At 41.4% G+C, this 13,567-nt stretch overlaps 1 long non-coding RNA gene across 1 annotated transcript in view, besides 1 other annotated feature; it reads right to left on the bottom strand.

Moving 5' to 3' along the window:
- The window catches only part of PITX1-AS1 (PITX1 antisense RNA 1), a 311,407-nt gene that overhangs the window by 143,716 nt on the left and 154,124 nt on the right, over positions 1-13,567 (bottom strand). The window lies entirely within an intron of this gene.
- Positions 9,545-9,724: a silencer, noted in NCBI's record as "silent region_16372". NCBI's record gives its function as "represses an Ori minimal core promoter by ATAC-STARR-seq in GM12878 lymphoblastoid cells {active_cell/tissue: GM12878}" and the evidence as "EXISTENCE:reporter gene assay evidence [ECO:0000049][PMID:35858748]".

Raw genomic sequence — 13,567 nt, 5'->3', positions numbered from 1 at the left:
CTACATGTGGAAATCTAGCATATGATAACAATGATATCTCAAATCACTCAAGCAAAGATGATCTTATAATAAGTGGTGTTGGTATGGATAGACATTTGAGAAAATACAACTAGATCCATTCCTCACATCTATGCAAAAATAAATTCCAAATAGACTAGAGATCTAAGCGTAGAAAATTAAACTACAGTAGTACTAAGAGAAAAACATGAGTGAATTCTTCTATAACCTTGGTATAGAAAAGCTTTCTAATTATGAATCAAATTCCAAATGAAATCAAATTTTAAAACTGATAACTATAATTTTAAAAATTTTCAGAGCCAAAAAAAACCACCACAAGCAAAATCAAAAGACAAACATCAAACTTGGAGAAAATATTTGCAACTTGAAGAATATTACATGTATCACTGGTAAGGAGCCAATACACCTTTAAAAAAAAAAAAGACCTCAAAAAATCCTATAGAAAGACAATCAACGATATAAATAGACAATTCACCAAGAAGACATTAAAATGCCTCTGAAACCTATGAAAAAAAATGTTCAACTTTACACACAGAGAAGTGTAAATTAAGACTTCCCTACGATACTATGTCCCATCCATCAGATTGGCAAAAATTCAAAATCCCAACAATACATTCTGTTGGCAAAGCAGGAAGGAAATAGGTATGTTCATACATCATGAGTGGGAATGCATATTATATAACCCCTAGGAAGAGGAATTCAGCAATACTAACAACACTACATATTCACTTAGTTGATCCAGCAATCTTACTTTTCTAAAAAAATTACCCTAAAGATACACCTCCCACAAGAATATACATACATACAAGTTTATTCATTACATCATAATATTGAAAACTACCTAAATTCTCAAACACAGGAAATTGGTTGAAAAAAAAAAACTATGTTACATATATACAATGGAGTAATTTCCTGCTGTAAAGAAGGATGGAACAATCGAACAATCTCTATGAACTGATATGGAGTGATTTCTAGAATATATTGTCAGGTGGAAAAAGCAAGGCTCAAAAGAATACATAATATATACTAGCACTATGTAAGAAAGAAGAGGAAACTAGGAAACATACATGCATTTGTTTATTTTTGCCAAAAAAAAACATAGGAAGGAAAAATCAGAAAAATATAAAATTGTTTACCTTCTGGGGAATGGCGGAGGAGATAGAGTGAAAGGGATACAGAAGTGACACTTTTCTCGGTATTTTTTTTGTATAACATTTAATTTTGGAAGCATATTCATAAACTACAGAATCAAAAAACAAGGATGAGGGGAACAAAAACCAAATTGAAAGCAAACGAGCCAAACTGTATTGCAAATAAATCCTAAGAAAACTGCTGATGAACCCAAATTCAGAACCACACTGATGTGGGAAAGCACTAATCCTAGTAATTGTTGAACAAAGTATATTGACTATATGTCCTCAGCATAGAAGAAAAAGAACTGCAAACTAATTGTGAACTCTTTCACTTAGACTTGTTTCTCACAGCAGTATGGGTGTACCAATTTTGAAACAATCTTCTATATACAGTATAGGATTGAGACTGAGTAAATGTGAAATAATGCTGGAAGTCAGAGTTCTAAACATAGGGGAGATCCAAATATGGGAGTAGGGACACTCATGACACATATATACATACACAAAGAGACACAGACACACATACATTTTCAAATATGTATGTGTAACTCTGAATGTGTATGTGTATGCATACATACTTGTATATTTCACAGCTGGGATGGATAGGGGATATATGTGTATGTGTGTACATATCTATCCTAGATTTGAAGGAGCCTGGAGACAATGACACTCCAGTAGTGTTAGGCATAGTCAGTGCCTAGATCTTGGTTTTTAAATACCATTCCCCACTTAAAGGAACCAGAGTTCCTTAGCAAAACAGCTGATGCCAGGACTAGGTCAGGGAAGGTAAAAGGTAAGCCTGGAACATCTTGTTTATGCCAGAAAATAAAGAAGTATTGAAAGTAATGATGGTGGCACATGAAAAGCAGACAGGAGACAAGCCTGAAGGAGATCTCACTGGCTAAACCTAGGACAATTTGAGCACAAAACAAATAATGACAATAATATATTTGAGCCCATTAAATAAAACAGGAATCAATGAGGCTATAGTGATAAAGCAGCAGCAGCAGCAGAAGAGGAGGAGAAAAGAAGAAAGGAGAGAGGGAAAGCGGGAAAACTCAAAATCAGAGAAGAACGCTAAGCGGGAAATATGCAGAAAGTAGCAGCACTGGAAAATCACCATGTTCTGACCATGCAGTAAAGACTGGCTGAGGCAGGACTCATCAACAGACACTAAATTCAGCAGGAGGGGTGGGGTGTAGATTTTGAGGAGAAGCAGAATATTTGCACTTCAAAGTGTCTTCCCACAGATCGATTATTAGTTATAAGGGAAAATGGTAACTATACAGTGCAGTAACCAGACAAGATTTTGGCCAGGAAATCAAAGTTAACATCACCAATGAGAAGCAGACAGTCATCTGACAAACCTAAACTGAATTGGAATATTCTACATCCTGACCTGGTCTTCAAGAAAACATCAATGTCATAAAAGACATAGGCTGAATAACCACTCCAGATGAAAGGTTAAAGAGACCTGACAATGTGTGACCATAAACGCAATATGTTCTCAACAAAGTACTGGCAAACCAAATTCCACAGCACATCAAAAAGTTAATTCACCATGATCAAACAGGCTTCACTCCTGAGATGCAAGGTTGGTTCAACATATGCAAATCAGTCAATGTGATTCACCACATAAACAGAATTAAAAACAAAAACCATATGATCATCTTAACAGACATGGAAAAAGCTTTCCATAAAATCCACATTCCTTCATGATAAAAACCCTCAAGAAACTAGGCATTGAAGGAACATACCTCAAAATAGTAACAGCCATTTATGACCAATCCACAGCCAAAATCATGCGGAATGGGCAAAAACCGGAAGCATTCCCCTTGAGGACTAGAACAAGACAAGGATGCCTACTCTCACCACCCCTATTCCACATAGTACTGGAAGTGCCAGCAAGAGCAATCAGGCAAGAGAAAGAAATAAAAGGCATCCAAATAGGAAAAGAAGTCAAACTAACTCTTCACAACGATTCTATACCTAGAAAACCCTAAAGACTCCACCAAAAGGCTCCTGGAATTGATAACTTCAGTAAAGTTTCAGTATACAAAATCAATGTACAAAAATCAGTAGCATTTCTATATATCAATAATATTCAAGCTGAGAAACAAATCAAGAACACAATCCCATTTGCAGTAGCCATCAAAAAATAAAAATACCTAAGAATACATCTAACCAAGGAGGTGAAAGATCTCTACAAGGAAAACTACAAAACACTGCTAAATGAAATCATAGATGACACAAATGGAAAAACATTCCACGCTCAGATTGGAAGAATCGATATTGTTAAAATGACCATACTGCCCAAAGCAATCTATAGATTCAATGTGATTACTATCGAACTACCAACATTATTCACAGAATTGGAATAAAACTATTCTAAAATTCATATGGAACCAAAAGATTGTGAATAGCCAAAGCAATCCTAAGCAAAAAGAACAAAGCCAGAGGCATCACATTACCCAACTTCAAACTACACTGAAAGGCTACAGTAACCAAAACAGCATGGTTTGGTATAAAAACAAACACATAGCAAACAGAACAGAACAGAAAACTCAAAATTAAAGCCACAGACATACAGCTATCTAATCTTCAACAAAGTTGACAAAAATAAGCAATGCGGAAAGGACTCCCTATTCAATGAAGGATGCTGGTATAGCTGGCTAGCCACATACAGAAGAATAAAACTGGATCCCTATCTTTCAATGTATACAAAAATAACTCAAGATGGATTAAATATTTAAATGTAAGACCTCAGATATAAAAATCCTAGAAGAAAACCTACAAAATACCCTAGGTTTTTGGCAAGGCCCTACCCATTGGCCTTGGCAAATAATTTTTGGCTAAGTTCCCAAAAGTAATTGCAATGAAAACAAAAATTAAACTAGTGGAACCTAATTATACTAAAGAGTTTCTTCATAGCAAAAGAAACGATCAACAGAGTAAACAGACAACCTACAAAATGGGAGAAAATATTCAAAAACTATGTATCTGACAACAGATCTACAAGGAACTAAGATCTACAAGGAACTGAAACATTGAACAAGCAAAAAACAGACAATCTCATTTTTTAAAATGGGCAAAAGATGTGAACAGGTATTTCTCAAAAGAAGACATACAGGTGACCAACAAACATGAAAAAATGCTCCACATCATTATCAGAGAAATGCAAATCAAAACCACAATGAGGTACCATCTCACACCAGTGAGAATGGCTATTACTAAAAAGTCAAAAAACAACAGATGTTGGCACTGCTGCAGAGAAAGGGGAACACTTACACACTGTTGATCAGAATGTCAATTACTTCAGCCACTGTGGAAAGTAGTTTGGTGATTTCTCAAAGAACTTAAAACAGAGCTACCATTCCATCCAGCAATCCCGTTACTGGGTGTATATCCAAAAGAAAACAAATTGTTCTACTAAAAAGACACATGCACTCATAGGTTCATCACAGCACTATTCACAATAACAAAGACATGGAATCAACCTACATGCCCATCAATGGTAGACTAAAGAAAACATGGTACATATACACCATGAAATACTATGCAGTCATAAAAAAGAATGAAATCATGTCCTTTGCAGCAACATGAATGCAGCTGGAGGCCATTCTCTTAAGCAAACTTACACAGCGACAGAAAACCAAATACCACATGTTCTCACTTATAAGAGGGAGCTAAACATTGGGTATTCATGGACATAAAGATGGCAACAATAGACACTGGGCACTGATGGGGCAGGAGGCAAGGATTAAAAAACTAAAGGCCAGGCGCGGTGGCTCATGCCTGTAATCCCAGCACTCTGGGAGGCCGAGGCAGGCGGATCACAAGGTCAGGAATTCGAGACCAGCCTGACCAACATGGTGAAACCCCATCTCTTCTAAAAATACCAAAATTAGCCAGGCACGGTGGCGCATGCCTGTAATCCCAGCTACTCAGGAGGCTGAGGCAGGAGAATCGCTTGAACCTGGGAGATGGAGGTTGCAGTGAGCCAAGATCGCACCACTGCACTCCAGCCTGGGCAGCAGAGCAAGACTGTCTCAAACAAAACAAAACAGAAACTAACTATGTGGTACTATGCTGGGTGATGGGATCATTCGTTCTCCAAACCTCAGCATCACGCAATATGCCCAAGTAACAAACCTATACATGCACCCTCTGAATCTAAAAGTTGAAAAAAAAAAAAAAAAGAAACAATATGTGATCATTGCCCGGATCTTATGCTGAAAGGAAAAATTTGGAATGTAGACAGTAGACTAGGGTAAATAATAGAGTTAAGACTAACCATTCAAGGCAAAAGTCTTCCAATTCTGAAAGGGCCTTTTGAAATCTAGACTTGGCAAATGCCCCAGCATATTCTTCCCCCACAGCTATGTCACACTGCCCTTCCCCAGTGAATATGCAGGCGTTCCAAGAAGGGCAACCAGCCGGGCCCTGAAGAGGGCAGCCCCAGAATCATCAAGTTTAATCTGCCCAAAGAGCATATATGACTTAAGTGTTTCCAGCCTTCTACAGTGGATATACTTGGCAAGAACATACCTGTAGGATCCCCTGGAGAAGACAAGGCCATTATGGAAGCCTAGAATCCAGGGGTGTGGTCTTCTTCTGACCCTCTGCCAGGATGGACATGGCCCAGAGGGCCAAAACCCAAAACTCTCCCCAGCTGGAGCTCAATGACCTGTGTAGATCTGGCAGCAACCCCAGGCCTTAGCAAGCCCCTGTAATCTTCCTCCCAATTCTGGCCGGCCCACAGGAGCTGTCGGCAGCCACCCCAGTGACTCACCCAATATAAAAATGGTGGGGAGGATGGGAAATGAGTGATCATTCACTTTGAAATGCATTTTTTTCTTCTTGGAGATTTATTCTGGATTATTGCATCTGACACCATTCATATACTGAGAATAGCTTTTGTGCAGGAAACAAAAGGAAACTGTGAGATAGCTTTTATTTTATGTTCTTAGAGATTTATTTGGTTGGATTATATCTGGCATCAGGACGCCCACAGCTCCATCAGATTGCAATGGCAGAAGACAGGACAGACCAAGTAAGGAGTCCACATTACCAAAGTTGCTGTGGCAATTCTGGAATTTCACAATGTTCTCCCTCATAGCCAGGTGAATACTACAAGATTCCAGTAGGACATCCAGAGGAGAGGGAGAGAGAAACAGGGACATGGAAATCCAGGGAGAAAGGCCTGACATATGCGATGACAGTTTTATCATCTCCTTTAGTTCTTCTAAAAGTATTTGTTCCTATGCTCTTGAATCTCATTTGAGGTCAAGATGCAATTTCAATTCAAGCTAATAACAAGGGCTCTGAGAGTGGTGTTCTGCTTGCTGGAGTCAAAGCAATGCTCAGCTGTCTATGCTGAGATCAGGTAGAGAAGAAAAGCAGGGCTGAACTTTATCTCTAAAATGAGGGTGACCTAGAGCATGGCCTCTTGTGGGGATTAAGTGGCTAATAGCAATGACACTCAATGGTCAGAGCACATGCTAAGTGATTGCTTGACAACGAGTGACCCAGTTGACTGTTGTGAAGTCCATTTTGCCTTCTTTCCTCTCCAGATAAATACCATGATGAATTCCCCAACTGATAATCACAGAGAATTCCAGTGTTTTACAAAAAACAGTCTTATCACCCCCAAATCCAAAGTGCCACTATAGCCTCATCACCTCTCGGCTTTGTGAACCAGGAAAGCATCAAGGTCTTCCTGAACAGCTCAGCCTCACAACCAAGAATGTTCCCACTTAAAAGACCTTCCAACACCACATTTTCTTTTCACTGGCCCCCGGAATATGTTATCTTGGGAGAGGGAAAGTTAAAACAAATGAACTCGCAGCAGCTGGGGAGGAAGACTGAGAATGACTCAGGAGTCATTCTCCCTCCAGACAGGGTAATTTCCTACCCAGTCATAGGCAAGGTTGAGAGCTGAGCTGCATCTTAAAGCTGCCTGGGGTGAGAGACAGGAGTTTAGTGATGTAAAGAATAACTGCTAATAAAGTACTTTCTCTCTTTATTTGCTACAATTCTGTGAAAGTCTCTCAGTTCCAGATGCATAAAACTGGAGAAGCGGTCCACAGCTCAATCACCCACCTTCTCTTCCAAAGAATCCACAAGTACTAGAGGGACAGCATCAGCAACACGCCGGGCGGAATCACTCGGGGGCCTTGGAAGACCTGTTCTATTTGCTTCTGAAGGTGAGAGAGTGGAGGACCCCAGAGAGTCTTTCCTCCCATGGAAAATTCTCATGACTGAGCAGCTTTAAGCTCTTTGGAGCCCTACGGGGCTGAGAGGGCTACTTACAAGAGAGGTTGCCCAGACTCTCCCAAGGCAGTTGCATAGCCTGATTTTAGAATAATATGTGGCCACAAAAAGAAGTCAGTCTGCTGGGATTCCTCTGGAGAGCCTGAGAAGGGGGACAGGGCAGCCAGCTGGCTGGCAGCCACTCCAAGCACAAAGGTGGGAGCCAGCTGTGCCAGGTGTGTTTAAAGTTCATCTTACCTTTGGTCCCCCAATACCTGTGTGATGGATGGCATTGTGGGAAGGTGTATTCAGCCAGTAATGCATTTCTGTCAGAGTGGCTGGAAATAAAAGGGAGATGATGGGAGGGGGGCTGCTTTTGTGCTCGGGGTAAATAACCAGTCGGCTAGGGTTTTTCTTCTTCTTCTATTCATGTTCATGGGGCCAGGAGGGACTAAAAGTTTACTGACTTTCCTAACATTCCTTCTTCTCCATAAAAATGTAAGTCCAGGGTAGGTAGGATTCCTCTCCCTCCTTGGCTGGCCAGCCTCAGAGATTTCAGTGAGCCACTCGCAGTCCCTGAATGCGCAGACCTGGCATAACAAGAAGATTTCTGACTACGGGGCATTTCTCCGTACAGAACGGCTGGCTCTAAAGGCAGTCGGCACCCAGGAGAAAACATGCCAAATAATTTTTTCTACATTAAATTATGAGGTGAGCTGAAAAAACACAACTAAATCACCCCTAGTCCAGGGCTTGCATGAGCCCCTTGACTAAGAAAATAACTTTTCAGGACTAGGTTCTGAGCAGCCATTTGGCCAAATACCAGAGTCTCTTTCTATGATCTCAGAGACCAGGAGGTAAGAACATTTTGGCCTCAGATAAGCCAGGAGACAATCACCTAAAAACAGACATCCTTGGGCTTTGACAGCCAACTCCCTCTATAGGGGAGAGAGAAGGTGTCTGGGTTAGATACCCATGGGTCCTGCTGCTACCAGCTGAAGGCCCCATGGGAACTGCTTGACCTGTGCTGGTAAAATGAGGGTGCAAGGGCAGTCCAGCCATGCTGGACGCGCAGCATGGAGCACGGATGCCCTGCTGCACCCAGACGCCAAGTATCATGCTTGCACATGCTGCAGGCAGGCGTGGCCAAGCAGGACACAGCCTTTGTGTATAAAACCACCACAGAACGAGAAAACATTGCGTCTGAAATGGGGCCAAGGCTCCTCCATTGACAAACATCTACTGTGATTCCCAGCCCCTTCTGAAAAGGCCTAGGGGAAAGTCATGGCTCCAGGCCCCCTTCCCCAAGACAGGAATGAGAGTATCACCACACACAGCCTCTCCCCTCAGTGCTACTGAGCCCCATGTGACATCCTCACAGGCCAAATCCATTCACAAAACTCAGTCCCCTCAGGACATAGATATCTAGTTTTGCCCCCATGGTTTAGAAATATAGCTGCTATACTACCTTCTACCCAAAACCCAAAACAGCCACCAAGAGCCCCACTTTGCTGGAGACTTCCTGATAGGGTTGTTTGTGTGGGTAGATTCAAGCCTGTTTGTGGTGGATACCTAGGAACCCAGCCCCTGGGAACAGAATGGCTAATCCATGATATTTGAGGGTGGTCCATGACTTCCAATGAAAAGGCATGGCACCGTCCTTGGATCTGAAGCTCCTCAAACCTTCTTCCTGACTTCCGGCGGAAGCCCCTGTGCTGCTCTTGGGAAGTAGAGCCTGCTCCCAAGCTGAACAAGCGGGTTTATACCCCGCTTGCCCCACTGTACCCCGCCAAGCAGGGCACGCCAGCAGAACTGTCCAGAGGAAGCCATGGCGCAGCCTGGCTCCCGCTAAGGCTCTCCCACCGCACTGTCGCAGGAGAGCCCGGGACGGCCTGGCTCCTGCTCTCAGAGATACCCTCAGCAGGTCGGCCAGCCCAGGACGTGGAGCGCACAAGTCATGAATTCCAGGCAAGCCACTGAAGCGTGGCTTCTCCCCGTAGCGTCAGCACCACCGGCGGCCAACAGGTGGCAGGAGAGCTTCGGGGAGCGCGCACCTGAGGCCCGCGGCTGGGTCTCAGGCTGCAGCGGCAGAGGCCGAGGTCTCCCTCTCGCTGCGACCCACGGGGGAAGACAGAGCCTGCCGGGGCTAGGAAGAGAAGGCGCAGAACGGCGTGCGGGAGCGAGCTAGCGGGGCCTCTACTTTGCGCCGCAAGCCGCGAAGCAGCTCCTGGCCGCCAGCCCCGCAGCTGCCCCCTCAGGCCTCCCTGGCTGCGTGCAGACCCGTCGCGGGACCTGGCCGGGAGCCGACCTCGACTCCACCCCCGGGGCTGGCACCCCCACCCCCGCAGACCCCAGGCCAGGGCCAGACCATCTGGGCTGTTCTGGGTCCCGCGACGGGGTTTTGAATTACTTCTAAATCATGTCCTTTGCTCCTAAAGAGCAAGCAGGCAGTGGCCGATGGAGGTGAGAGAGACAGCCCAGAGATACGGGGTCGTGGCCGTCATCGGCACCCCTTGTTGGCTTCCTGCTACAAGCCGTGATGATAAAATTACGGTTTTTGTGAAAACCAGAATGGTAACAGAGGAATTTTTCCTTTTTATAAATAACTAACATTTCCTACCACCAAATTCCAAAACTGCCAGAGGGAACCCCTTCCGCAACGCCACAGCACTTTGTTCTGCATTGCCCCACACTACACAGGCAGCGAAAGGAATCCATCAGGTTTAATTTGTTCTGCTCTGGTCAGAACTGAGGTCTCTAGAAGCCTCGCATATACTTTACCATTTTAAGTTTGAGAACCCTAAACTAATGATGTGAAACTAATGTAGTGTAACACCAAGTGCCCTCTCTGCCAGTAGGAAATAATTTCTGCAGCGCTTCTAAAAACCAAACCAAACCAAACAAATAAATCAAATGATTTTACAATGTGGAAAAGCCATGAGCGAGCCGGCTGGGCCGTGGCTCTGTTTGGGGGAAGCAGGCGGTTTGAGAGGCTCAGCGACTCAGCCGCGAGCAGTTTTCCTGGGCTGGGGTGTCTGCAGCTGGGAGCGGCATTCGAGCTCTGGCCCAGCAGGCCTCGGGAAAACAATCTGGGCCACAAATTCAACATGACAGTTTTAACAAATACGATTTCAACTTTTATATTTGGATTTAGGAAGGAGATGATGGCCTTACCCCGGAATCACTATTAAATAATAAGCTTATAACATATTTGCTGACGGCAATATAGACCCTGCTTCAAATTAACTTTAAAATGTGCTGCCGATACATACGGCTTATACTTAGAAAGAAAACAAAGCTGGTGACCGGGCAGATTGAGTCAAGAGGCAAATGTACAGAAATGTACACAGAGTTGATCAGAGTTTTTGCTACCTGAACAGCCAAAGGAGGCTTTAAAATTCAAGTTAGTTCTTTAAAGACTTATAATAATAATTTTCCCCCAACTGATTAGAATATCAGTCTTTAAACATTTAAAGCAAGCTCAAGTTCTGACCATTTCAGCTTCTCAGAAGTGTAGACATTTTTTAATGCATTTACTTTATTGTGAAATTGCAATATTTGTTAATGAAAGAGAATTGGTTGCATCTGTCTATTTTACAGGTTTTTAATATCCACTAGTCATTTGACCAATGTAGAAAGCAAATAAATATTTTCCCCTCATGTCATTTTTTTAATTTCCCAGAAACAAGTGTTCCTTTATTATCTGTGACCTACTCAAATGAGAATTATTTTTAAAGAGTTGCAGGTTTCTATACCTGCTGGAGTGTTTAGAGCCCAAAGCACTGTATTTCTCTAGAACATTTTTGTTGAGCTTTAACACAGTCTTACCTGCATATCTTATATTACTTGGAATTGGGTAACATACATCACTTTGGAAAAGATAAACAGGCTACTATAAAAGACAGGAAATAAATAACTCATAAGGTCACCTTTGGTTGAAGCAATCTTATTCTAGTACTAGAAAATATTCGTTTATTTTTTTAAAAAATACAAATAAAGGAGCAAACCTGAAAGAATTAACTAAAGATTCAAATAATACAACTGTCTGTTGCCTTGTGTCCATGTGGGGTTTCACACAAAATTGGGTTTGAGTTTATTGGAGAAATTAAGGTTATTTGAATCAACACTGAGACGTAGGTCTACAAATCATTTATCACTCACTCATTCACTAGCAGAAAAGCATCTATGGGACCCTTTTGTATGGGAAGGCTTGCGTTTCTGAGAGCAGAGGCACAAAAGAGAAGCCTTCGTTGTTGGTTAAAAATGATTACAGCTAATACCTGACCGTGGCCGATTTTCCTGTCGTTCACCACTTTAACATCGGAAACATGTGATCGGCCCTCCAGATGCCCATTATTAATTGCATGCCCTTTGATGTCTGAACATCGATGGAATCTACAAAAGCATTAACGTAAGAAAATATGCCTCCTGAAAAATTCCCAAGTCACTGACTGGTGATCGGCGCATGTTCCCATTCGTTTGCTCACCTTCAGTGGCACTGTGAAAATAGCCCCAAACCCCAGACATTTTGCCACGAGTTTGGGCAAAAAAAAATTTCAAGACTTGTTTACAGTTTCTACTTCAAGTGGGGGAAAAAATGGCACATTTGCACATTCAAGAAGTATCTGTGTAATTTAAGATAACACATTTCTAAAATGCTTAAGGTTCAGGAATTTGCATGAACATAATTATAAAGAAAGAAAGAGAGGAGAGATAAAACAACAGTTAAACAGTTCCACTGGACAAGTGAATAAAGGCACCTCATTATAAATATCTCCACTTCGCTATGTTTATTTTCTCCCAAGAGACAACTTTATTTTTTAAAGCCTTATCATGAAGGAAATCGCTGACTATAGGTAAATTTCTTTTCTCAGGCGGAACTCAAAGATATTGTTATAACATGTTTTCTTGTGTGCAATTTCAAAACAAATAGACTTTTGTTTTTACAAACCATTTATTTGGGGAGGTTTATTTGAAGAAAAATTTTCCTCTGCAAAGAAAAATTTATAAAAAGCTACATGTGCAGATTACTTGACCCACTGCCTATCATAACATCTTTACACATCTCAAGGATTTAACATAGTGAAAGGAAAAGAGTAAAGAGGGTTTGAAGGGTAGCCCAGCACGGCTTGCATGGATGGCTGCTTTCCTATGCAGAGCTCAGAAACACATCCATCCCAGAAATATTTGTTTATCATGAAAAAATATTTGAGCCACTCATACTGAATTCTTTCACATTTTTGGGCAAGGTCTTTTTGCCATCTGGAATTAGGTATGTTAGTGAAGCTTATATTTTCAAATATTAGATTTTCTATCATTGTCTGAAATTCTCTCAAAGTATTGAATTGAACAGTCTTACCTTACCAAAAATAGAGGTAGAGTGCAGCAACTAAAAATAATAATGTTTAAAGAAAAAAAAAATCTCTTCCAAAGAGTGAAGCTGAAAAAAGTATCACAGTGTACATCTTTCTAAGAGTTAAATAACCTCCGACAGAGCTACAATAAAACTGATCGGCATTCGCTATCTGAAATGATGTGCAATTAAAAGCTAAGTAAATATTTAAAACAATCTTCCTTGCTCAAAAGAAGAATTGGAAAATTAAACATTTACAGCCAGAAATCTTGGAATCTCAATTTTTATACTTTGCAAGGGTACAAAATAAATGTGGAGATGCAGTTACCAATTCTTGAAAGATTCCCTCTGCAAACAATATCATGGCTTCTACGTGTGTGCAAGCCCCGCAAACATAATGATGCATTAGCTAAACATAAACCCTCTCCGAATTCCTGGTAAATCTAAATATGTACGAAATTAAAATGGAAACAAGGAACAAGTCTAGTGTTAGTCCTTTCAAAATACTAATTTAATAACTCTCCAAGAAATAGAGTGTTTTAGGAAAGGCAACCCAGATGTCAGCATATAAAATCAAGCTATAAAGCACCCTTCAAGTATATTTCAATCATTTTTAAATATTTACATTTAATAAGGACAAGTTTTTATGGCAAGAAGAGGTAATTACACTTATCATTCATGGAAAAATGTACTTTTAATGGCTTGTATATTGATTTGCAAAGGTGAAATAGTAACCTAAAATATGTAATTGTCTTTTTTTCCCTTCTGTTCAGCAATTTGCTGCTCTGGCAAAGCAAAATATGAAATGCTA

The sequence above is a fragment of the Homo sapiens genome, chromosome 5, assembly GCF_000001405.40.
Source record: "Homo sapiens chromosome 5, GRCh38.p14 Primary Assembly".
Classification (NCBI taxonomy): domain Eukaryota; kingdom Metazoa; phylum Chordata; class Mammalia; order Primates; family Hominidae; genus Homo; species Homo sapiens.
Note: the sequence above shows the minus strand (reverse complement) of the source record. Positions and strands in the feature narration are given on the sequence as shown.